The following is a 25,035-nucleotide window of genomic DNA, read 5'->3' on the forward strand; positions in this document are numbered from 1 at the left end:
AACAGTTTGAAGTCTGCCAAGAAGTTGATCCATTTGGGATTAGAGTATCAAAGGATGAGGAGACAATCATTAATGCTTGAAATAGAAAGATGACTTTATTGCTTGCTGTAGTGACAGAGAGCTGTACTGGTCAGGCACAGTGTACCTGGCAGGGCAGACTGCTAGTCTCATACAGGGTGTCTGGGCAGCATGGAGTTGAAGGACTGTGGACGTAGACAGGTTGACATCATCTGTAGAAGGATGCTTACTCAGGTGAGACTGTTGTAGGCTGATTGGCACTCAGAGGCGGGTTTATTGGAGTAAGTCTTTCTTGACTAGTTGACATTCAGAAGAAAGGGCCTGGCACTGATAGGGTTGTACACATATGAGAACTGATGTTGACTTGGTCTATGGTTTGGGTTTAAAGCTGGTTGTGGTGGCTCATTGTTACCATGGTTACATAACAATCAGTCTTATCCTAAGTTTGTGGAAAGATTTTATTCTCAGACAATATTTGAATGAGGTATTTTACATCCATTATCCACCTTAAGTAGATTTTCAGGTCTGTTATCAAGAAGTTAATGTAACTGTGGCTCTTGAATTTGGCCACTTGGGTTACTTGACCTCTTTAATCTCCATTTCCTCTGCTGATGAAAATGACAGTATCCACCTCACGAAATGCTTTATATGAGACGCTTAGCATAGTACCTGGCGTATGATTGATGTTGAATAAATATTAAATATTATTATTATATCTACCAAGGAAGTACTTGTGATTCTCTGAGGAAGAATCACAAGTACCAAAGAATTACAAGTACTTAAGGGGGACTATTTACCTGGAAATCAGAAACTATGCATCAGTGGCAATAATTACAAGAACTTCTGTAGCGTTTTGGAAACTGTATCTATTATTTTTTAAAAGTTCACATTTGTCTCCTCATAATGGTTAGCACTATGATCCACAATACAAAAAGCAACTGTAGTATACAGACAGAGTGCGCTGGGGAGCTTGTTTTTGGAGAGTGGCATCTAAAAATGGAAGAGGTGATGGTAGTTATAAAGAGAGGGGAGGGTGGGCTGAATCCCTAAGGCCTGAGGGAAAAGGGTCCCCTAGGGGATCTCATGAGATATGATCTCACAGCCTCAATCACCAGACTGGCTGCATGGTTGTTCTTGGGCCACGCTTTCTCCTCAGCTCCACAGGCCTCTTAAGTTTAATGGTTGGAAGGCAAGAGCGGTGCAGCCATGTTTCAAGCTTGGCAGAATTGGGGAGTGTAGGGGTACTGAGAGGTAAAAGGGGAAGGATTGATAAGGCAGAGTTGACTAGTTAGAGCTGTTTTGTTTTCAAGAAATAGAAACACATTTGAGCTATGTTAAGGGAGAAAAGGTTTATCCCAGAATCCAGGGTGCAACTGAGCCTTCAGAATAGACCAGAATCAGGGACAGTATAGGAAGCTGAGGAAGTTCTTTCTCTATGCCTCTCGTTTCTTCTTCCCTCTGTGCATGAGTTTTTCTGCTTCCCAGACTATGTGGCTCCTCCTCAAGCCTCATTTCAAACTCTCAAGAAAAGACTCTGATTGGTCCATAATATAGGTCATGTTGACCTGGGACAACTGGCTAGGTCCAGGGTCCAGGGTCAGGGTAGACGGATACTCTGACCATGTGGATGATGTGGTGAGTAGAAAAGCAAGAAACCTGTGAAGTCATGGCTTGACACACAAAACAATAGATTTCACTCCACCTCATGGGATCTCTCGAGAAAAATGCGAGAATGAATGAGGGCCGCTAATGGGATGGTCAGAAGAAGTGCAAGGGTCACACAGAACAGTGATAGAACTAATTTCAAAAATGCTCCCCCATGGGCTGTGGTGTCAAACTCATGCACATTTCCACGGGGATACATGCTCTGTGGGACAGGAATTAAGTCTTCAAAATCTAGTAACCTTATAGCACATGTAATTCATACTAACCACATTTCAAGTGTTCAAAAGCCACATGTGGTTAGTGACTACTGAATTGGACAGAGCAATTATAGATGCCCTTATAGTTTCAGAATGCCAGTTATATTCTAATTTAATTTCTTCTTGTCTTCATCAGAGCCGATGAAATTGGCCTTATCCATCGAGGCCAAGGCATGGAAGATGTTACTCTGTCGATATCTGAATGAAGAATACAAAAAGAAAATGTCATACATGATAGCATTTATTAATGAATACTTGAAAAAGTTATCTAGACCTATTCGTGATTTAGATGATGTCAGATTTGCAATGGAAGCCTTGTCTTGCATACGTGATAATGAAATTCAAATGGACATGACTTTGGGACCAATTGAAGTAAGAAATGATTGCATTTTTTTTTCTTGGAATGCTTTTTTGTTTTTTAAAGAAATAGAGACACACTAAGAAAGTGATTCTTTAACATATTCATCTATTATGTAGCACAGTCTGCCTATTTCTCGTCTCTGATGTTGATGTCTTTGGGAGAATTTTGGCAATTATCAACAGTGAACAGTATACAAAAGACACTGTTGTAATACAAAGGAATGTTAATATATTAATAATGCTATAGTGGGGTAGGTAGTGTTTAATTTTTGATACTGGCACCAACATTTTGTGGAAAGAAATAATTGTCCCTTGTCATGTCAATCCCAACATGTTAGGCAAGTTCTCCCAAGATCTTTGGCTTGCCTTAGAAACCAATTATAGGTCTCACTCATGAACGGTGGTGTACCACAGGCAGTATGGCAGAAACAGTTCCCTCAGGCTCCATAGTAAACTGTTGGAACTTACATCAATGAAAAATGTTTTTAGGAAACAGTATGAGTTTTCTATTGCTGCTATAACAAATCACCACCAACTTAATGGCTTAAAACAACACAGATCGTTTATTTTACAGTTCTAGACATCAGAAGTCCAAAAATGGATCTAATGGGGCTAACATCAAGATGTCAGCAGGGCCATGTTGCTCCTGGAGGCTCTAGGGGAGAATCCATTCCCTCCTTTTTCTAGCTTCTAGGGGCTGCCCACGTGTCTTGGCTCATGGTTGGTTCCCTTCTAGTGATGCCATCACTTCTACCCCCATTTCTGTCATTGTGTCTTCTCTCACACCTACTTTCCTGCCACACTCTTTCTCTTATGTGGACTTTTGTGATTACATCAGGCCCGCCTGTTAATCCAGGGTAATCTCCCCATGGCAAGCTCCTTAACATAATCATATCTGCAAAGTCCCTTTTACCATATAAGGTAATATGTTCACAGACTTTGGGGATCAGGACTTGGATAGCCTTGGTGAGTTTGTCTATTACTAATATTTAGAATGTTTTAGGACTAATATTATTTAGAATTTCTGATACATGGTGATAAAAATCAAGCTTTTGATTCTTTTTATTATTGGTTTTGTTGTCTATAAACAATGCACTGCCTCATTGCCTACAATATCTGGGGAATTGACACCACTACTGCCTCTTTATGGTACCCAATATTTATGACTGTTTTATGCTTTCTTGAACCCATTGAGAGTTTATACTCTTTGGTAGCTAATGAACTTTTTACTTTTACTGCTTTAAAAAAATCGTGGTATTTGGGGATTTTGGATGCTGACCAGCCAGACTTCAAGATATAATAAATTATTATATCAAATTTTCCCTGACTGCAAAAGCTTAATTCTTTACCAAACTTTTTTTTTTTTTTTTTTTTTTTTTTTTTTTTTTTTTTGGTGAAGACAATTACTGGTCATCCCTTGGAGCCTGGATCATTCAAGTTTCTTTTCTTTGGAGTATCTCCCACATCATTTCATTCTGTTCCTTGTATAGTCAACCCCTGTTTTAATACAGTCTGTATCTTACGTGGTGTTGACATAGGGTCAAGGAGGAAAAAGAGACATATACATCTCCATCAGAATCACCTAGGTGCTTATTAAATGCAGATTTCAGAGCCTGTGATCCAGAGTTAGTATCTGGTAGTCAGAATCTAAAGGTGCTTTTCATACACTTTTAATTTTGGAAACCACTTTTCTAGAACATGCTGTCTTCTTCTAAGACATAGGAATGTGTTTCTAGAAGGCGTCTAAATCATTTGGCAATGGCTTTCCCTTGTGATATTTCTAAACTCCACCTTCATCCTGCAGGAAGCCTATGCTATTTTAAACAGATTTGAAGTTGAAGTAACCAAAGAAGAATCAGAAGCAGTTGATACCTTAAGATATTCTTTCAACAAATTGCAGAGCAAAGCTGTAAGTATGAATTTAACTACATTATTTTTTCTTAAGTCACTATCTCCAGAAAAAAAAGGTATTTTATACCTTTTTAAAGCTTAATATACAGTCATGTGCCACATAACAATGTTTCAGTCAACAACAGACTGCATATACAACGGTGATCTCATAAGATTATAATACTGTATTTTTACTGATCCTTTTCTATATTTAGATACACAAATGCTTACCATTGTCTAGAATTGCCTTCAGCATTCAGTATAGTAACATGCTGTAGAGGTTTGTAGCCTAGCAGCAATAGGCCATACCATATAGCCTAGGTGTACAGTAGGCTATCCCTCTAGGTTTGTGTAAGTACACTCAATGATGTTCACACGACAAAATCACCTAATGACACATTTCTCAGCCTATTACCATCATCAAGCAATGTGAGACTGTAAATTATTTTAATGGCTTTATTGAGATAGAATACACATACCATAAAGTTTACCATTTTAAAGCATACAATTCAGTGTTTTTTAGTATATTCACATTGTTGCTTAACCACCATCATTGTCTAATTTTAAAACATTATCACCCCACAAAGGAAACCCCGTGCCCATTAGCAATCACTCCTGATTCTCTCTCTTGCCCCAGCCCTGGCAACCACTAATCTACTTTCTGTTTCTGTGGATTTTCCTTTTCTGGACATTTAATGTAGACTAAATCATACAATATATGGTCTTTCGTAACTTGATTCTTTCATTTAACATAATTTTTCAAAGTTCATCCATATTGTCCATGTGCGAGGACTTCATTTTCCTAATGCCTAATGAGATAGAGCATGTTTTCATGTGGCCATTTTATTGGTCATTTGTATATCTTATTTGGAGAGATGTGAATTTAAATCCTTTGCTTGATTTTTAAAAATTTTGTTGTCTTTTTACTTTTGAGTTGTAAGAATTCTTTATATATTATGGATACAAGTTTCTTATCAGATATGTGATTTGCAAATGTTTTCTCTTCTGTGGGTTATCTTTTCGCTTTATTGATGGTGTCTTTTGATGCACAAAGTTTTTTACTTTGATGAAGTCTAGTTTATCTTTTTATTGTTGTTGTTGTTGGTGTTTTTGGTATGTTATCTGGGAAACCATTGCCCAATCTAGAGTTACAAAGATTTACTGCCATGTTTTCTTATGAGAGTTTTATAACTTTAGCACTTAAATTTTGATTTCTGATACATTTTGAGTTAATTTGTGCATATGGTATAAGTTAGGGATTCGACTTCATATAAAAGCATGTAGATAATCCAGTTGCATTGACATTGTTTACTGAAAAAACTATCCTTTCACCAACAAATTGTCTTGGTAGCCTTGCTGAAAATCAATTGATCATAGATGTAAGAGTTTATTTCAGACTCTCAATTTCTATTCTTTTTATCTATATGCCTATCCTTATGCCAGCACCACACTGTCTTGATTATAGTAGCTTTGTGCTAAGCTTTAAAAAGAAAATAGTGGCAAAATGCATGTAACATAAAATTTACCTTCTTAACCATTTTAGTAGTGTTAAGTATATTCACATTGCTGTGCAACCAATCTCCAGAACTTGCAAAAAATCTTGCAAAACTGTTACTCTATTTAAACAACAACTCTCCATTTTCCCCTACCATTTCTAGGTTGCCTGTTCACTCTGCTGATTGTGTCTTTATAGTCCTTTCTATTTCTGTTAGGCTGGTAGTGATGTCCCCTTTTTCATTCCTAATTTTAGTAATTTGCATCTTCTCTCCTTTATTCTTACTTAGTTTAGGTAAAGGTAGTCAATTTTGTCAGTCTTTTCAAATAAAAAACTTTGGTTTGTTGATTTTCTCTATTGTTTTTCTATTCTCTCTACCATTTATTTGTGCTCTAGTTTTTATCATTTCTTTTCTTCTTGCTCTGGGTTTAATTTGTTCCTCTTTGTTTAATTTGCAAAGTTGAGGTTACTGATTTGAGATTTTTTTTCTTTTAATGTAGAACTTGATAGCTACAAATTTCTCTAAGCATTTTTGAAGTTGATAAACATTTATACACCAAAATTAGACATTAAAAATGAACTCCAAGGGGCCAGGCATGGTGGCTCATGCCTGTAATCCCAGCACTTTGGGAGGCTGAGGTGGGTGGATCACAAGTTCAGGAGGTCGAGACCATCCTGGCTAACACAGTGAAACCCTGCCTCTACTAAAATTACAAAAAAATCAGCCAGGCATGGTGGCAGGCACCTGTAGTCCCAGCTACTTGGGAGGCTGAGGCAGGAGAAAGACGTGAACCCAGGAGGCGGAGTTTCCAGTGAGCCGAGATCGCGCCACTGCACTCCAGCCTGGGCAACAGAGCAAGACTCTATCTCAAAAAAAAAAAAAAAAAAAAAAAGACCTCCAAGGGATGACCTACATCCTTTAATTATACTGAATTTTATAGAATATTAATTAAATTGGACATTGGCTTTAACATTTCTTATTTATGGAAATATTTGTCACTTATACTGAAGCAAGACATAACAGCAAGGAGACACAAAACTGAAGCTGAGGTCACAGCTTGTGACTATAGCTCCACTACCAGTCAACTGGATGATTTTATGCAAGTTAATAACATTTGTTTCTCAACTTCTTCTTGGGGTCATTTAGGAAGGATAATTTTTTTATGTGTCTATGAGGCTTACTTGAGGTAATGTATATAAAATACTTTTTTGAAAGAAATAAACTCATGTTTATTTAAATTCATATTCAATATTAACTAATAGCTTACTCCTCTTGCTGGTTAGTCAGAGGAGCGAGTCTTAGAAAAGAAATAGGAAATCTCTGTTGAGGTTTAGTGAAACCCAGTTTTCTGCTATTATATCAATGGAAAAGATTCATGGCTGAGCATGGTGGCTCACACTTGTAATCCCTGCACTTTGGGAGGCTGAGATGGGTGGATCACTTGAGCCCAGGAGTTCCAGACCAGCCTGGGCAACATGTCAAAACCTTGTCTCTACAAAAAATACAAAAATTAGCTGGAAATGGCAGCACACACCTGTAGTCCTGGCTATTTGGGAGGCTGAGGTGGGAGGATCACTTGAGCCCCAGAGGTTGAGACTGCAGTGAACTGAGATTGTGCCACTGCACTCCAGTCTCCAGCCTGGTGACAGAGTGAGACACCATCTCAAAAAAAAAAAAAAAAAAAAGAAAAAAGAAAGACTCACTTAGGTTGTTCCTCTATCTCTTTAATGGTTAGTGTTAAACCCACTAACCCATCCTTTAGCAGAAATAGATTGTTCTATACTACAGTCACCATTAAACTTGAGGTAATATATGTTCCAATCTAAAGATAGCTGCTATTGTTGAGAGCAGTTAATAGCAGGGGCCCTGGAACTACACAGCCAGGTTTTGAATCTTGACTTTGCCTGATGCTGGTGGTGGGACTTTGGAGAAGTTACTTAGCCTCTCTGTACCTCAGTTTTCTCAACTGTAAAATGGTAATCATATTAGCATATTACAATTTTCTTCATAGGGTTGTTACAAAGATTAAAAGAGTTAACATATATAAAGAGCATGGCAGATAGCAAGCATTATTTAAGTGCTGGCAATTATTATTGAAGGTTTAAGCAGAGTATTTCAGGACCATTGTGTAGGGTATTTGCTATTTTTTTTTAATACCTAGAGTAATATCACTTTCTTTTAGGAATTTGCTCCAATGACTGCAGGCATGTGACCTTATTAGAGATTGCTAATCCCAAGTCTTGGCCTAGCCCCACAGACAACATGTGACCCAGACCATGCCAATAATAGTATCTGTCTCCCATGTCACAGTGATGGCCTGAACTGGATCAACCAGAAACAGTTACAGAGAAATTGGCTTTGCCTCTTGAGTCAGGCTAGAATGATTTGAGTCTCCTGTAGGTTCATTTGGGTTATTAATATATTTTATTACAAGCAAACAGAGACTTCCTTGTTCATATAGGATATCTGTGAGATACACTTGTTGGAATAGAATTGTAATTTTTGTTTTTAATATGTTACTTTCACTCTCAGGTTGAATATTCTTTTTTATTGTAGGTTTCAGTACAAGAGGACCTAGTTCAAGTGCAGCCAAAGTTTAAAAGCAATCTACTTGAGTCTGTGGAAGTTTTTCGTGAGGACGTGATAAACTTTGCAGAAGCATATGAATTGGTAATTTAAGTATTTTCTTGCTGTATGTTGAAATGTTCTGTGATGTGTTTATATGAAATGAAAGTGATGAACCCTGAGGAATAGGTACGTTGCATGTATGTGGCTATATTTGCGTATTTGCAGCTATCAGAAAAAGGGGATAGCTAATCCTTTAAACCAGGGATGTCCAATCTTTTGGCTTCCTTGGCCATATTGGAAAAAGAAGAATTTTTCTGGGCCACACATAAAATACGCTAACACTAACGATAGCTGATTAGCTTTTAAAAATTGCAGAAAAATCTCATACTGTTTTAAGAAAGTTTATGAATTTGTGTTGGGCTGCATTCAAAGCTGTCCTGGGCTTCATGTGGCCTGTGGGCTGTGGGTTGGGCAAGCTTGCTTTAAGCAAATTTTATAGAGAAAGAAAACAGATTTTACTGTTAAAAGGAGCAACAACTTTGGAGATTGTGGAAGGAACAAAGGGTCTGGTTTTGTCTTTTCTCGGGGGCTGAATTCTCATGGTAGAAAATGTAATATAGTTGTTGGAAGGCCGTGAGAAACTATAAACTTCTAATACCAGGATATTATGCCATTGATTTTGCATTCTCACTAACTCTTAGAGAACCAAAAAGGTCCCTAAGAATAAATAATAGATGTCATACTGGGTCAGTCCCGTATGCTACTCAAACTGGTATTCTGACTGATAATGTTGACCTTGAAGTTAAACTCAAGACTGAATATGTTCCCCTGAAATATTCTTTCTTTTAGTGGTCACAGTGGATCTGTATTCATAAGATGATTTAAGCCCTTGGTGCTACTTATATAATGCTTTTTTTTTTAACATGTGCTAAACATATCTGTTGATTTGCTGCCTCATTCTATTGTTAAAGTAAATCTAAAATGGAGACCAGGTCTGAAGAGTCCCTGAACAGACACAGCCAGTCACTTATATAATGTTTTTTTTTTAACATGTACTAAACATATCTGTTGATTTGCCCCCTCATTCTATTGTTAAAGTAAATTTAAAATGGAGACCAGGTCTGAAGAATCCCTGAACAGACACAGCCAGTCAGGCTTCTTAAGTTACCTTGCCCTTCCACAATTTGCAGACATAAGCAAATCTGAACACACTATTTCTTATAAATGCCTATATTAGAAACAGCTTAACTAATCAGAAGCCGCAAACAAGCCCATAATTATATAACTGGGGACTTTCCAGCAGAATAGACCAAAGAAGACAACTTTATAAATGAAACCAATAAAATGTTTTCTTTGCATTACTTCTGTGCTCACTCTGTAAAAGCCTTCTGCAGTGGAGACCCTGAACCAAGTCTAGTTGGGAGTTTCCCAATTTATGAATTACTGTGTGCTCAGATAAACTTAAAAAAAAAATTATTGGGCCTCAGTTTACTTTTTAAACACTATTATATTGGGAATCTAGTCTATTATTTAGTATATCTATCATATCATGATTGACCATGTTAATATACTTAATAGCCTTCATTTTTCCATTGGGAGTAGCCCCTGTTATTTTAATTTGTTGCTATAAATTCATTTATTCCTTTGCTTATTTTGGGGAGTGTTTTTGAGGATTATTTTGCAACTGTGTTCTGGTTCATAGCCACCAGACACTGCTTTCTGCTTCTTCCAAATATTCAATTTACATGTGTCCCTATTTCCATATTGGGCTGAACAGTTATTAAAAAGAGGATGTTCTCAGAACTCTGTATCAGTTATTCTAATGCACAAACACAGCATCATCATTTGTAATCATAAATGAAATTTGGCAGAGCCCTTGGGGTACACACTCCATATAGAATGTAATTTTGTCACATTTTTTATTAGCTCTGTCAAGGTCCTTTAAAAATGAATGGAAGATAGAGTGATGAAAATGTTCTAAATGATTGTGGTCATGGTTGCACAACCCTGTGAATGTACTAAAAATCATTGACTTGTACACTTTAAATGAATGAATTGTATAGTATGTGAATTCCATCTCAATAAAGCTGTTAGAAATAAATAAAAGCTTCAAGTACAGGACACAATTAAATAATTTAAATTAAAAAAATGCTTGTTTACTTAAATGGAAATAATAGATAAACCCAATAAACTGACAAATACATATGATTAAGAATGAAAATGGAGATTATATTCTTCCTTACAGGAAGGACCTATGGTTCCAAATATACCACCCCAAGAAGCTAGCAACAGGCTACAGATATTTCAGGTGAAACCACATTTTTTTTGTTACATCGACAATGTGTAATTTAAAAAATTATTTTGGGGAAAGATGGAGGTTTTACTTTTTAATAGAAAAGTTTGTATTTCAAGTACATCAGTCCTTAATTGTATTCTAATCTGCTAAATGATGCAATTGACTCCTCTGTCTCCCTCCATGCTCCTCTCCACAGAATAGCTCTCTGTATTTTTAGAGAATAAGACTGATTCTCAACTTAAGAATATAACTTATTTTAGTTCTAAGCATTTCATTTGATATGTAAAGTAATAAGAAATCATAGTATAGTAAAATTTATCAAAATAATATTTTAAATATTGGCAAATGTTTTCCCTCTGTATTCATTATTTTGTCTTCCTTTTGCATCCATCTCTTTAAGTTTCCCTACTTCTTTGTCCTATCTCCTCTGCCTGTACAATACTCATTGGATCAGGCCAACCATTCACCATCTTTTTCTACACTCGGATTGCTGAGCGCGTCTAGAGAAAGTTCACACATCCACATGGATTAATACTTTGCAAATTCATGGATTCCTATGTGAACTTCCTCCTCAGGAGCATCAAGCAATTCTCTTCTTTGCTCCTGCTCTTTTTCCTGTTTCCCACAGTGGCTGAATAGTGTGATTAGTTCTTTTCATGTCCCCTTTCCCACCTGCATTCTTAGTAATCAAAAAAAAAAAAAAAAGATCAGATGCCTACTGTGTGGCTTGCTCAGGAGAAATTTGATGAAGAAGTGGTTCTTACCTCTAAGCTGCTAAAATCTGATAGAGAGATAGCAAGCTAGAGAGAAAACTGCAAGTGCGATGAGAGCTGTGACCTAGGTATGTGAAATTGTGTAATGGAAACAGATGGGCTGTTAGAGCAGATGGAGAAGGCTTCCTGAAAGAGGAAGAATCTAAGCTGCATCTTGAAGGACTAATTAGAGTTAGCCAGGGGAAGACGGAGGGGAAAAAGAAAGTTAGGCAGAATTTGCAGCTCATACAAAGGCCCGGCAGAGAGGAAACTAGTAGGGCAATATGGGGAGATGTAAGGAGTGCAGGGTGGGGTCGTGTACCTTTGGGATGCGGTACTAAAGAGGATAGTGGTGAGGAACGAGGTGACAGAGTGGGCAGCGAGCACCAGTGGAGGGCCCGGTAGGCAATAATAAGGAGTCTGAATTCTATCTTGAGGGTTGGAGGGTTCTAAGCAGGGAGTGATATGATCATACTTGAATTTTTAAAATAGTTGGTTTTTTAAAGATTTTTAGTGGTACTAATGTAGAGACTGGTTTGGAGAGAGGAAGATCAAACTGAGGGCAGTTTTGGTAGTAAAAGCAAGAAATTGTAAAGAGGGAGACCAAGCAAGTGACACCTGTATAATGAAGAAAATTGGATGGATCATGAATTTATTAACGAAGCAGAATTGACGGGCCTGAAACCTGGTTTGAGGGAAAAAGTTAAAGGTTTCCAACTTGGGCATATTGACGAAGGTAGAACTACTTATCGAAGGAGGGCATGTAGTAGGAGGAGTAGCTTTGGGGCTTGTTTGAGCGGATGACCTTGTTTTCAAGTTTGCAGAGAAAATTTAGGGCATGTGATGTAAACCAACTGATTAGTCAGCAACTGGGACATTATGTGCCAAGATTTTACCCAGGGGTGTGGTTGCTAATGTAGCCAGGTATTGTGGCATGTGCCTGTAATCCCAGCTACTCAGGAGGCTGAGGCAGGAGAATTGCTTGAACCTGGGAGGCGAAGGTTGCAGTGAGCCAAGATTGCACCACTGCACTCCAGCCTGGGCAAGAGAGCAAGACTCCATCTCAAAAAAAAAAACAAAACAACAACAACAAAAAAACCCAACAAAACAACAACAACAACAAAAAAACCATCTCAAAAAAAAAAAAAAAGGCAATGTAGGGCACATCTTTTGCCTTTCTGTACCTTCTGTTCTGCCTGTCTCTCGAGGTGTGAGCCAAACAGGCTGTTTGGCATGCACTTCACTGGGATATGTGACTTGAGGTCAGATTTGTAGACACAACCCTTTTCAAAATGAGATGTACTCCAACCCCCTAAAAAAAACAGGTGCCAAAGGCTGGATGTGTGAAGGCAGAGGTGCCTTATATTGGGCCTTGGGTCCTGATGGTGCTCTCTCATGCAAATTTATTTTGGGGAGTTCTTGGGCACCCTGCTGGCCTGTTGACAAAGCTGATACTTTATTCCTGTTCAGCTGATGCTGTGGGTGTTTTTATGTTACTTGCAACCTGAAGGAAAAAAAAGGTGAGTGATTAGCATCCATCAATAGTCTTTACACATTGATGAGTTTTTAAACACCATTATTTTAATGTATTCTAACTTTAGTGTTATTGTTTATCCTTCCTTAGTGTTCACATAGTCCCACTCTTCATAGTGAAGAGTCCTATGGACTCTTCATTCAGTACATTTATTGAATAACCACCATGCCAACCACCAAGGAATACACAAAGTACAAAATATGGCACTTGCCCTCTAGGAACTAAGAGTTCATTCGAGTTCACCTGGTATCTTCATGCCTTCCTGATCTGGGTCCTGTAAAATATACTAACGTATCTGTCAGATCTGTATTTTTGTCTAAGCCTTGTGAGGTCTGATGCTGGATATTCTCCAGGGCTGGGAATTTAGGGTTCTCGGGAATATGCTGTACCACTTACACAGAGTGCTCATATGTCCTCACAGATGGGTTACTTCTGTTGGCATTTGTGCTTTGAACATTGCTAATATTTAGCATCCCAAATATAGGATATTCAAATCCCAATTCAAAAGGAAAAATTAAAAGACATGTGCATTAACTTTGGTGATTTAAGTTGTTAGAATTATTTCAAATGGTGTTAAAATTGGATCTTCTTTTTTATAGACTCTTCATTGCATGTACAGAAAACAGGACTGAATGGATTAGACTAACACTTTGCTCATTTGAGCCCTGTAGGATAGAGATGGCCAGTCTAAATTACTGAAAAATCCTGAATTGTAGAGTTTTAAAAATGCAGCTTTATTACTTTTAGATGTACTTATGGGAACTCGAAATATAGGCCTTCTGGAGAAGAAGAAGAAATAATTTTATATAAAATGAATGCTTTTAGAATGCTTGAAAGCGAACTTTCCTAAGTGTTTAACTTTTTCTCTGATAGCTTGGTATCAGTATAAATTTGCTTCACAAATCCTTATTTTATAGCTATTACTTAATAAACCTCAACCTAGCTTTTATCCCAATGAAAATAAATTCCACTTTAATTCTACTGAATTAATTGTATTTTAGTACAATTTAAAAACCTTTGTTACAGGCCAGTTTCGATGATCTGTGGAGGAAATTTGTTACGTATTCATCTGGTGAACAACTTTTTGGATTGCCTGTGACTGATTATGAGGTTTTACACAAAACCAGGTAAGTTTAGAAAATAAGCAAGTATTACATGCAAATAATTAAATACTATCTATTAGAAGAATCATGTCACCATTAAATCCTTTATCATGCAGAGGACACTACAGCTTGGAGCACAACTGAATATTCTCCTTATTCCAGCTATTCTTTACAAATTGGACACACAGTCTCCTATACAAAAGAAACGTTCTAGGGGAGTAAAAAATATGTTGCTAAAATTTTGAGCATGCATGGTCTATATTTAGCCTATGCTTTACTTTTTCTTTTGACTGTTTTTGCATAGTGTCAGTGATTATGCAGAAGCACAGCAATTTTGAGTAACTTTTGTTTATTTAGAGGAATAACCTTCCTGGCTCCCCTTGCCTTCTTTTTTTTTTGAGACAGAGTCTCGCTCTGTTGCCCAGGCTGGAGTGCAGTGGCGCAATCTCGGCTCACTGCAAGCTCTGCCTCCCGGATTCATGCTATTCTCCTGCCTCAGCCTTCCGAATAGCTGGGACTACAGGCTCCTACCACCATGGCCGGCTAATTTTTTTGTGTTTTTAGTAGAGACGGGGTTTCACCATGTTAGCCAGGATGGTCTCGATCTCCTGACCTCGTGATCCGCCTGCCTCGGCCTCCCAAAGTGCTGGGATTACAGGCGTGAGCCACCACGCCTGGCTCCCCTTGCCTTCTTACTCCATTTGTGGTAAAATGCTCTTCCCCATTGGGTAGACATAGAATTTATTGAGATTGACGTCCAAATAAGCTAATTGATTATAAACCACACATATAAACAAGTGTATTTCAATCAAATTTTAGAATATTCTTAAAGAATTTGAAATATAACTTTCCTTAAAAGCAACATTAATACAGTGATAGTATTAGCTCATTAGAGTCTTGGCTTTAGAAAATAAGTTTATGTTGACTTCCTTCAAAGCCACAACGTGAAAATTTCATGAAAATAGACATGAAATTTTCTGAAGAGAAATGAATGCTTCAGCCATTTAGGGTAGGTGGTTTGTATTCTCTTTCTAAAACAGTCATTCTCCAAACGTAATCCATTAGCCAATTGTGTTAGAATTGCGGATGTCTGGCCCTCATTTCTGATTTACTGAATCAGAACCTCTGGGATTGGGTCCCAGAAAATCTGCATTTTACACACTCTCCAGGTGACTGTGATGCACACTCAGCCTGAGATCCAATGCGTTCACCCTCAGGCTAGCAGGAGAAATCATCATCACCATTTACCATCTGGACCAACAGACCATTTTCATTTTGATATTTTAAATTTTATGAATAATTTTAGAGAATGGTGAGAATGGTGAGAAGCTTTGAAGTTTTTTTTTTGTTTGTTTTGTTTTTTTTTTGAGACAGGATCTCACTCTGTTGCTAGTACTGGAGTGTAGTGGTGGAATCACTCGACTTCCGTAGTTCAAGTGATCCTCCTGCCTCAGCCTCCCAGGTAGTGGGGATTATAGGTGCATACCACTGGGCCCAGGTAATTTTTAAAAAATTTTTTATACATACAGGAGTCTCCTTATGTTGCCCAGGCTGGTCTTGAACTTTGGGGCTCAAGTGATCCTCCCACCTCGGCCTCCCATTGTGTTGAGATTTCAGGTGTGAGCACCCGCACCCAACCGAGAAGCACTTTTTTTTTTTTTGAGACGGAGTTTCACTCTTGTTGCCCAGGCTGGAGTGCAATGACATGATCTCGGCTCACAGCAACCTCCACCTGCTGGGTTCAAGTGATTCGCCTGCCTCGGCCTCCCGAGTAGCTGGGATTATAGGCATGTGCCACCATGCCCGGCTAATTTTATATTTTTAGTAGAGACGGGGTTTCATCATGTTGGTCAGGCTGGTCTCAAACTCCTGACCTCAGATGATCTGCCTGCCTTGGCCTCCCAAAGTGCTGGGATTACAGGTGTGGGCCACCATGTCCGGTGAAGAAGCACTTTTATTAGAAGATTTAATAATAATTTAAGCAGAGTAAACTCAAACTTTTATTCTGTAATATCCTAGTTTGAAGATGTATATATACAAAATGGGGACCAGCACTGAATGAGACTAACTCCTCATCGGCTGTCATGTGTGAACCTGGAGCATATCCATGCTGTAAATATGGATTTCATATTTTAAATCATCTCCAATGGATCTGTGGCTTATCATTAATTCTGACTTTTCTTGCACTTGCATTGTCAAGACTCAAAGCTGTTGAAAACTCGGACAGTCATCATTTTTTTAAGAGAAGACTGTCATCTGTTTTGCTTCATAAATATTGAAGACTTTACTTTTAGATTTGAATGATCAATTCCAAGAAATTTTAAATTTCTAAATCATCTATTTCCTTGAATACACATCTGACTTCAACATTTGTCCACTTATGAAATGTATCAAATACAACTTATGTAAATATAAATAATGAAGGAACACTGTCACTTATCTTTTTCACAAAATGGAATAGTTTAGGTTCTTGTTGCAAAATATTGCATGATAAGGCCCTTATTTCTATTGAAGTCTACGGAAATATATTGTTTACTTATAAATTACTGGATTTTATAAAATTCATCTAGGTTATGATCATCTGAAGACATAGTATGAGATTTCACATATTAATCAATTTCACCATCAAAAGGGAATGCTGCTTTCTCTTTCCTGTTTAATACTTGGGAAACACATTTCTTTGTCAATTTTCTTCTCTTTACCCTTTTAGGTAGAAAATGAAAAATTCTGAATTCTTAACTGTATTAAATGAAAGCAACTGTATTAAACAAGCAAAAATCAAAAGACAACAAAAATGGTGTCTCTGGCATTCTTTTTATATACTTTTTTGAAAGATTTTGCAATACTTTATGTTATACAGTAAGAAGCCTGGAGGATGATGCAGTAGTCATTTTTTTTTCACTGTTGCATTACCCTTTAGGCAATGTCATCATTCTCTTTTCTTATTTTTTTTAGTCATTTTTAGCATAGTTGAGAATAATAATAAGTGGTAATGAAATAATTCTAAGAATGATGAAAAATGAATCAAGAATTGAAAAAATAGGACAACTAAGATCGCAGAATGTGTCTTAGATTTGTAAAATCTACTACGCCTACATGGTAATTACAAGATAGAATGGGCTGGGTGCCGTAGCTCATGCCTATAATCCCAGCACTTAGGGAGGCTGAGGCGGGCCGATCACCTGAGATCAGGAGTTCAAGACCAGCCTAGCTAACATGATGAGACCTCATCTCTACTAAAAATACAAAAATTAGCCGGGCGTGGTGGCATCTGCCTGTAATCTCAGCTACTCGGGAGGCTGAGGCAGGGGAATTGCTTGAACCCAGGAGGCAGAGGTTATGGTGAGCCGAGATCGTGCCACTGCACTCCAGCCTGGGCAACAGAGTGAGATTCTCTCTCAAAAATAAAATAAAATAAAATAAAAAGATAGAACGACTTTTACTTCATTACAAAATTTATTTTTGGTTTTTGAAGTATCTCTGATGAAGAATAAAAGTTGTGAATGTCAATCCTTATAAATAAACTTGAAAACTAAAACTGAATCCAGTAGAACCTTATGGCATACTAAGGGCTGAGGAATTTCTGGGAGAATCCACAAATTCTGTTGAGTGGTCAATTTGGTGTTTTACACATTTAAGAATTTTCCTTTACTTGGACCTTTTATTCTTGTTTTAAACACAGTAACTTCATCTGGGCACATGTGGGATTTTTTTTTTTGGATAGGATCTTGTTCTGTTGCCCAGGCTGGAGTGCAGTGGTGCAATCATAGCTCACTGCATCCTTGAACTCCTGGGCTCAAGCAGTCCTTTCACATCAGCCTCCCAAGTAGCTGGGACTACAGTCACATGCCACCACACCTGGCCACATGAGGGAAAACTTCTGGTAGGAATAGGGTGTTTAAGCTCAATCTTAAAGGCAGATCAGGGCTTAGTCAAGGGAAATGTTCTCATAAAATCCAGCTTGTATTTGAAAGAAAAAAAAGTCAAATGAAACCTTAGCCGCAGCTATGACCTTATCATTAAGTTTTGGTCACATTGTTTGCAATGATTGGTATAGTAAGTTTCTCATTAAAAAGTAGCAAGATTTTTTTTCTTTACAGAATAAACCATTTGCTAATGTCAAGTTATAGTCTGACTTGGAATATTTGGGAGCAGTAAACTTGGCCTTAATGACAGATCTTTAACGAAGTCTTTGTATTGAAAATGGATATAGTTGTATGCATTTGGTATCTATAAGACATTGTACACGCAATGTATGAAATATTTGATTGGATGAACTCTGCCTTTCCAATAATGGACTTTATTAAATATTATACATGATGTGATAACTTAGTTACTTTGTTTCCCAGAAAAGAACTCAACTTGCTGCAGAAGCTGTATGGATTGTATGACACCGTAATGAGCAGTATTAGTGGTTATTATGAAATACTTTGGGGAGATGTAGATATTGAAAAAATTAATGCAGAACTGCTGGAATTTCAAAACAGGTGAGTTTCAATGGAATTTTTTATAATGCCTGTCTTCTTAGGATCCTATAGGTATTTCAGAAGCTAATTTATTCCCTAATATAATAGTGTATATACATAAAACCTTCCTCAAATAAATGTGAAGGTGGCATATTTTTTTTCTCTTTCTTTCTGAAAGATGTCGTAAACTTCCAAAAGGACTTAAAGATTGGCAAGCTTTTTTGGATCTCAAAAAGAGAATTGATGATTTCAGTGAGTCATGTCCTCTACTGGAAATGATGACCAATAAGGCCATGAAACAGAGACACTGGGATAGAATCTCCGAGTTAACTGGAACCCCATTTGATGTGGAATCTGATTCTTTTTGCCTTAGAAATATCATGGAAGCACCACTCCTTAAACATAAGGATGATATTGAGGTACATAAGTGTATACGTTCTTATCAATGATCCATTAAAGAATGTCTGCTTTTTCTTTTCTGGGAGTTGTACAGATATTTTATGAGAGGTTGGACTAATTGCCCTCTATAATGCACCCTCAAAATTTGGAATGATCCTGAACATTCTTGACTTTTATGAAATAATCTTGTAACTCAATGAGATTATATGATTATTTGAAATACATTATTTGAAATACATTTGTTCTGGAACCCTTCAATACATCTTCCTTGTCCCCAGAATGCACTTCCACTTAAAAAAAATTTGTTTATTTATGTATTGTGTTCTTGGTGAATCCCTCTGAACTATTTTCCAAATTTCTAATTTTATGCTTTTTCCTGTTCAGTCTATTAAGTTTTTAGAATTTTCTATTATTACATTTTTCCTTTCCAAGATTTTTAATTCATTCTTTTTTGTGGCCAATCTTTTTTTTTCATTTTTTCATTAAAAATTTTCTGTCCCTTTTGTAGATTCTTAGATCTACAGTCTTAAATCTATATATATTCCCAGATCTGTAGGTTTCAAATCTATAGATTTATAGATGTCTTCGCTTATCTCTTTGAGCATTTTAAACATAATTATTTAAACATTTTTCATTAGGGAAAATTTTAAACACATACAAAAGTAAAGATCTCCTTGCTCTAGCATTTATCAACTCATGGCCAATATTATTTTATCTATACTATCTTTATCTATACTTCAACAACTCCAAATTAAACATAAAGATGTTTTCAGATTCTTCTTTAAGATTAATTTCACCTGGACTGAATTTTTGCTGTGATTGTTTTTTATGTTGGCTATCCTCTGAGCCTTAGATTTTTTTCATGGGTTTTGTAATTTTTATTGGGGTGGCTGGGAGGACTCATTTTGAATGGGCAGGATTTCAAAAATTCTGGCTTATATAATGTGTTAAAATTGTCTCTGTCCGTTTGTGTCTTCGTTTTCCTTGTCTAGTGGCTTTGTGGTTGCCTCCTACACTGTCCATGTCCCCTCAGCCCCAAGTTGAGAGCCAGGTGTTGTAATAGCGGTCTCCTTCCTCTACTGTGCTGTGGTGTGATGATCCAGGAATGTGCTGACCTATTTCAGGTCCTGGTTGTGGGGCTGGTTTTGTGTCACCCCATCCCCCAGGTCCACAGTTCCATTAAATCTAGTTGCCTAGATGGCAGCTAGAGGCAGTGTTTTCAGCCTCCTTCCATGAATGGAGGGCTTTAGACCCCAGCCCAGGTACTCCTTTTCCTATAGATCATTTTTACTCTTCTTCACCCCATGGGAACCAAAGGCCTGGCCCCAGTGTCCAGGCCTCAGGCCTGTGTTTCAGCTCCACCAACTGGTTTGCATAGCTTTTCCACTTTTGGTTCATGGATATGTTTGTCTTTTTTTTAAGTCTGGCTCTGTTTGCTTTTTTACTTACTTTAAAAAAATTATTTTATCCATTATTCTATGTTTTTGGAGTTGAGAAAATGCACCATGTGACCAGAAATCTCCCAAATATATGGTTTGGGTTTTCTGCCTTCCCCTACCTCTTTTTAACAACATGTGTGCACAAAAAGCTTTTCTTTCAAAGCATTTTTGTCCTATTTGTAAATATCACTAAGAAACAAAGAGGTAGAAACACTTTGGTGACCATCTCCTTCTTATAAGTAGGTTTTTATACTTAATAATATAGCCATTCGTAGGCTGTGCTTTATTATACAATTTCAAGTAATTCCAGGCTTCTGTTAATGACTCTTGGTACACAAAACAGAGTCTTGGTACTGTCTACCCCAGATACATCTAGTTGCTCAGCCACACATGCTGTACCATTAGCCAAATTAGATTCCTGCTGTTACTGGACTCACTGCCTCTAAAGGAAGGCTTCCCTTCAGTACAGAATTTCCTCTTCCTCCCAGAGAGTCTCTGCTGGAATCTCACCTCCTCCTCTACGAAGCTGTTCCTCCTCAGCACAGACCTCCCTCCTCAGAAATCACCATGGTTCACATCATTCTTAGGACATTTATTACACAGTAATTTGTGTTAAGATCATTTGTGGAAACATCTCACACCTTTAAATTCTTTTTCATCTCTGTGATTCTAACTATGAACACACATTGAGGCATTGTGGGGAAAATATGTTACTTTTATTTTCTTTCGTGAGTCTTTCTTATTAAGTATTCTCAAAAAAAAAATATAGAAAAACCCATAAGAAAAAAACAACTGATGCTTAAGCAAATGAGATATTCATATTAGGACCAGAACAGGCAGAAATATAGTAATATCTATATGTTACTTGAAAGAGTTCAAAAGACTCTTATGTATATTCTCATTTGAATCTCATAGCTAATCTCTGGGATAAACAGGGCAGCTGTGATTATCCCCATTTTAGCCAAAAGTTCGAATTGAAAACATAATCTGAAAAATGATGATTTAAGTTCCATTGTTTCATGTATGTGGTACAGAAAAATAATTAGTAGTCGGCGATTAGTAAATAATTAGTAAGGCTCTAGTGTCAAGTTGCAACACAATGATCTGAAGCCTTTTCTTGGCTGTAAAATGACTAAATGAACTGGGTGACTTACAGGTCCCTTTCAAGCAAAAAAAAAATTCTATGATTTGATGATGCACTTAATTTGTAGTTGAAAACATCATGACATATACTTTGCTTTTCCTTCAAAGGATATTTGCATATCTGCCATTAAGGAGAAGGATATCGAAGCCAAGCTGACTCAGGTGATTGAGAATTGGACCAACCAAAATCTGAGTTTTGCAGCATTTAAGGGAAAAGGAGAGCTCCTGCTCAAAGGAACCGAATCGGGAGAAATTATCACTTTGATGGAGGATAGTTTAATGGTCTTAGGGTCTTTACTCAGCAACAGGTAATTTTATAATTTGAGAGAGAGATTTAAATGGGATATTTAGGGTTATAAAATTCTAAGTAAAAGCTCAGTTTTAAAGCTCTTTCATTGGATGGATTCTGCACTAAATTTGGTATTATCTTGTCTGTTCCTATACAAACTGCCCGTTTTCCCTAATAATCATGGCCTCCATCTCTTCTTTAATGGTACTCATCTCCCCTTCCCTATTTTTCCTGGTGGGCCCCATCCTAATTATTCCTCCCCAGACTGGCATCTTGTCCTCTGAAGGTCTTGGCTCCCCACTGAGATGACCTCTTCATTTCATCTTTTCTCTCCTTTGTTCCTCTGACATCATTGACCTCTTGGCTAATCCTGTTCAAACATTCACCCAATGGCCCGGGAAAAGCCTGCTGGCCACCCGTGAGAGCAATCTACCACTACAGCAATCTACCCATTAGGGGCTTGGCACTTACTTAGAGACTTTCATTTTTTATGGTGAAAAGAGCCTGAGACCATTATGGCCTGAATGAGGTCACCTGTTCATCATTGAACTACGAACCAGCTTGGAGGTGCCTATGATCTTGAGTGCAGCTTTAGGAAATTCCTGTAGGACTCAGATTAAATATTCTGTCAGGTCTTTGGCACTGGCAACCTCTATTCCTCTGGCCGACTGTGCAGTAGTTCTCAACTATTCTTCACCTGAACACACCTAAGAAATAGCTAATATCCCTTTTCCACGTTGGGATCACTGGTTAGTGAGTTGCATGCTGCATGACCTCTGGCTCCAGGGGCAGTCTTGTATTTGCATAATGACAAAGCTGCCAGTCCAGGGAGTTCTGGGTTGAATATATAAAGGTCAAGGTCCTCGGATGCATCCTCTGTGTTCAGAGAATCCTGGCAAAGATGACCATAGGATATTCAGTACTTCCTAGACTTCATGGGCAACTGCTGCCCTATGGTTCATTGCAAATTTTGCCCATCTGACTTCCTGGATGATGACCTCTTGATGAAGGGCTGTAGATTCACCTGGGCAGTGTCTGCAGCCAAGAAATTCAGGATTTGAAGGCTTTCTTCAATTCATACTTACTTGGACATAACCTGATGAGTAAAATACCTATTTGTGTTATTAGTAAACTCAATGTTTACAAACTTCTAGGCCCTGCCAGAAAGAGTATAAGGATAGCTAAGAAGTCATCAAATTCTGGGAGATTCTCTTCCTAGAGAACTTTGCAGTGCCAAGTAGGTCTGGAAAGCCTGTTCCAGAACTAACCACAGACTGACCTAGTAGTGAGTCATACCTGCTGGATCCCTAGGACTACTTTGATGTGACTTCAGAAGGAAGCTGTATGTCTCCTTCGGTAAGACTTGACTGTAGGTATTGCCTGGATTGTGACACTTCCCTGGTGGATCCCTGATTCCATGGGACTTCATGGGCCATGGTGGGTTTGACCACACAAAGTTGTACAATGCAGGTATCTAGCCAAAGGACAGAAACTAGCTATGCTCGATTTTATTTCAGATCTCCCTTTTCCATCTTTAGAAGTTATACACCATCAAGGATGACTCTTTTTTTTCTGTGCAGAACAATTTTGGCCTATCTAGTTGCTTCATCTCCCTAAATGCCTGCCCATGCCATGTTGGTTTACATGTCCTTATTTGGAAGATGTTTTTGGCATATTGACTGCCTTTCAGCTCTCGACCAGTGGCCAGGGAAACAGCATAAACTGAGTATTGGGAAAAATGCTTCTTACTGCCTGAACAACTGGATTACCTACCTCCTTAGAGCAATTTATGTACAACTCCATTTATAACTTCATGTATAACATAGGCTTTCAGGGAAATTATGAGTTGTATTCAGGCATCAGACCGTACCCAGAAAAAACCCCATTCTACATGTGAATCACTCTGTCCTAGATCAGAAGAAGTTTGAAGATCCTAGTCAACAAGTGCCACTCACCAGCAAATGTCACTGCACCACATTGAAACTGCTTGCCCTTGCTACACACTGCAGTCGGCTTCTTGCTCTAACTGTAGGTAGTTGGGGTTTTTACCCAGTAGCCTCCCATTGCTTCCTCCATGGCATCCATTCTATTTCTTGTCCTCCTTTGTTGTGCTCAGCTTTCTGGACCCCTTGTATTCTCATAAACACTTCAGCAAGCCCTGATGATCAGAAAACAGGAGCCCTGCTATATGGGGGTAGCAACCCTGGGTCTCTAGCTCTGCAGAATCTAGTTGTAGTACCTGGTGTAATTCTCTCTCTGTGGGTGGGAAGAGCACACCTGTAAGTGAACATCAGACTTCAAGCTTGACTCTGGCTGTGCGGTCATCTTCTCCAGGTGAACCTGGTGATACCTAACCCTCTCCTGATCTTTAGGGATCTGATTTGTCCTGTCCCTTTAGAGATAGTCTGTCTCTTGCTGGATGAAACCTTCAAGACCATTCATAAAAGGAAAATCCCTGGATAGTGTTCTCTTTTCCTAGATTCAGTAGTTCCACAGACCAGTAACAGTGTCTCACATGTTACTCTCACAAGCAGACCCCACTTGGATTTGGTTCACAGACTTTTTGGAAAACCATCTTATTCCTTGCTTGGCATTTACTCCCAGAAGCAACCAGCACAGTTCCTTTGCTGGACCTATGCACCATAAAACTAGGCCCATTCTCCTATTCTATGACTGACACATGGGAACAATAAGTAAAATCACTGCAGTTATATGAGTTTTATTCATGAAAAGCAACAGTTTTTATTAGCTGTATGATATCTATTAGGAACTGCCCTTTAAGGACAAAACATTCATTCCCAAAGTAATATTTCTTCTGGAATTTACTTCGGTAAGGCCATACTATTTTCTGAATCTTCTTTGAAATGTGATTTTTTCCGTTCTTACCTTTTAGATACAATGCTCCATTTAAAAAAAATATCCAGAATTGGGTGTATAAATTGTCCACTTCCTCAGATATAATTGAAGAGTGGCTCGTAGTACAGAACCTTTGGGTTTATCTTGAAGCCGTCTTTGTAGGTGGAGATATTGCCAAACAGCTGCCTCAGGTAAATATGGCTTTTGTAATTACTGATAAAATAATTTGGTGTATGTTGTCTATATGTCTCTGTAAAAGTCTTCACAAAGACATATGGTCAAGGCTTGACTATGATGGGGTTTGGCAAACTATGGCCCACTTGCCTGTTTTTGTAAATAAAGTTTTATTGGAACACAACCACATCCATTCTTTTATATATTGTCTGTGGCTGCTGTAGCACCACAACAGCAGAGTTGAGTAGTTATAACTGAGATTATACGGCCCAAAAAGTCTAAAATCTTTACTATCTGGCCCTTCACAGAAAAAGTTTTTTAGGAAGTGCT

At 37.9% G+C, this 25,035-nt stretch overlaps 1 protein-coding gene across 10 annotated transcripts in view; it reads left to right on the top strand.

Moving 5' to 3' along the window:
• Positions 1-25,035, top strand: part of DNAH8 (dynein axonemal heavy chain 8) — a 315,482-nt gene that overhangs the window by 108,769 nt on the left and 181,678 nt on the right. For 9 of the 10 annotated variants that reach the window (XR_926078.3, NM_001206927.2, XM_011514319.3 and 6 more), the window contains 9 exons: positions 2,077-2,312; positions 4,105-4,209; positions 8,243-8,356; positions 10,500-10,562; positions 13,863-13,963; positions 18,289-18,426; positions 18,584-18,824; positions 21,495-21,694; positions 24,569-24,722. Coding sequence is in view for 9 of the 10 variants with exons in the window: in NM_001206927.2 (NP_001193856.1) it covers positions 2,077-2,312; positions 4,105-4,209; positions 8,243-8,356; positions 10,500-10,562; positions 13,863-13,963; positions 18,289-18,426; positions 18,584-18,824; positions 21,495-21,694; positions 24,569-24,722 (1,352 nt within the window). In the remaining variant the exon portion in view is untranslated. The remainder of the gene's footprint in view (positions 1-2,076; positions 2,313-4,104; positions 4,210-8,242; positions 8,357-10,499; positions 10,563-13,862; positions 13,964-18,288; positions 18,427-18,583; positions 18,825-21,494; positions 21,695-24,568; positions 24,723-25,035) is intronic. The other variant, XM_011514318.3, reaches the window with a different exon arrangement.

Source organism: Homo sapiens, chromosome 6, assembly GCF_000001405.40.
Source record: "Homo sapiens chromosome 6, GRCh38.p14 Primary Assembly".
Taxonomy (NCBI): domain Eukaryota; kingdom Metazoa; phylum Chordata; class Mammalia; order Primates; family Hominidae; genus Homo; species Homo sapiens.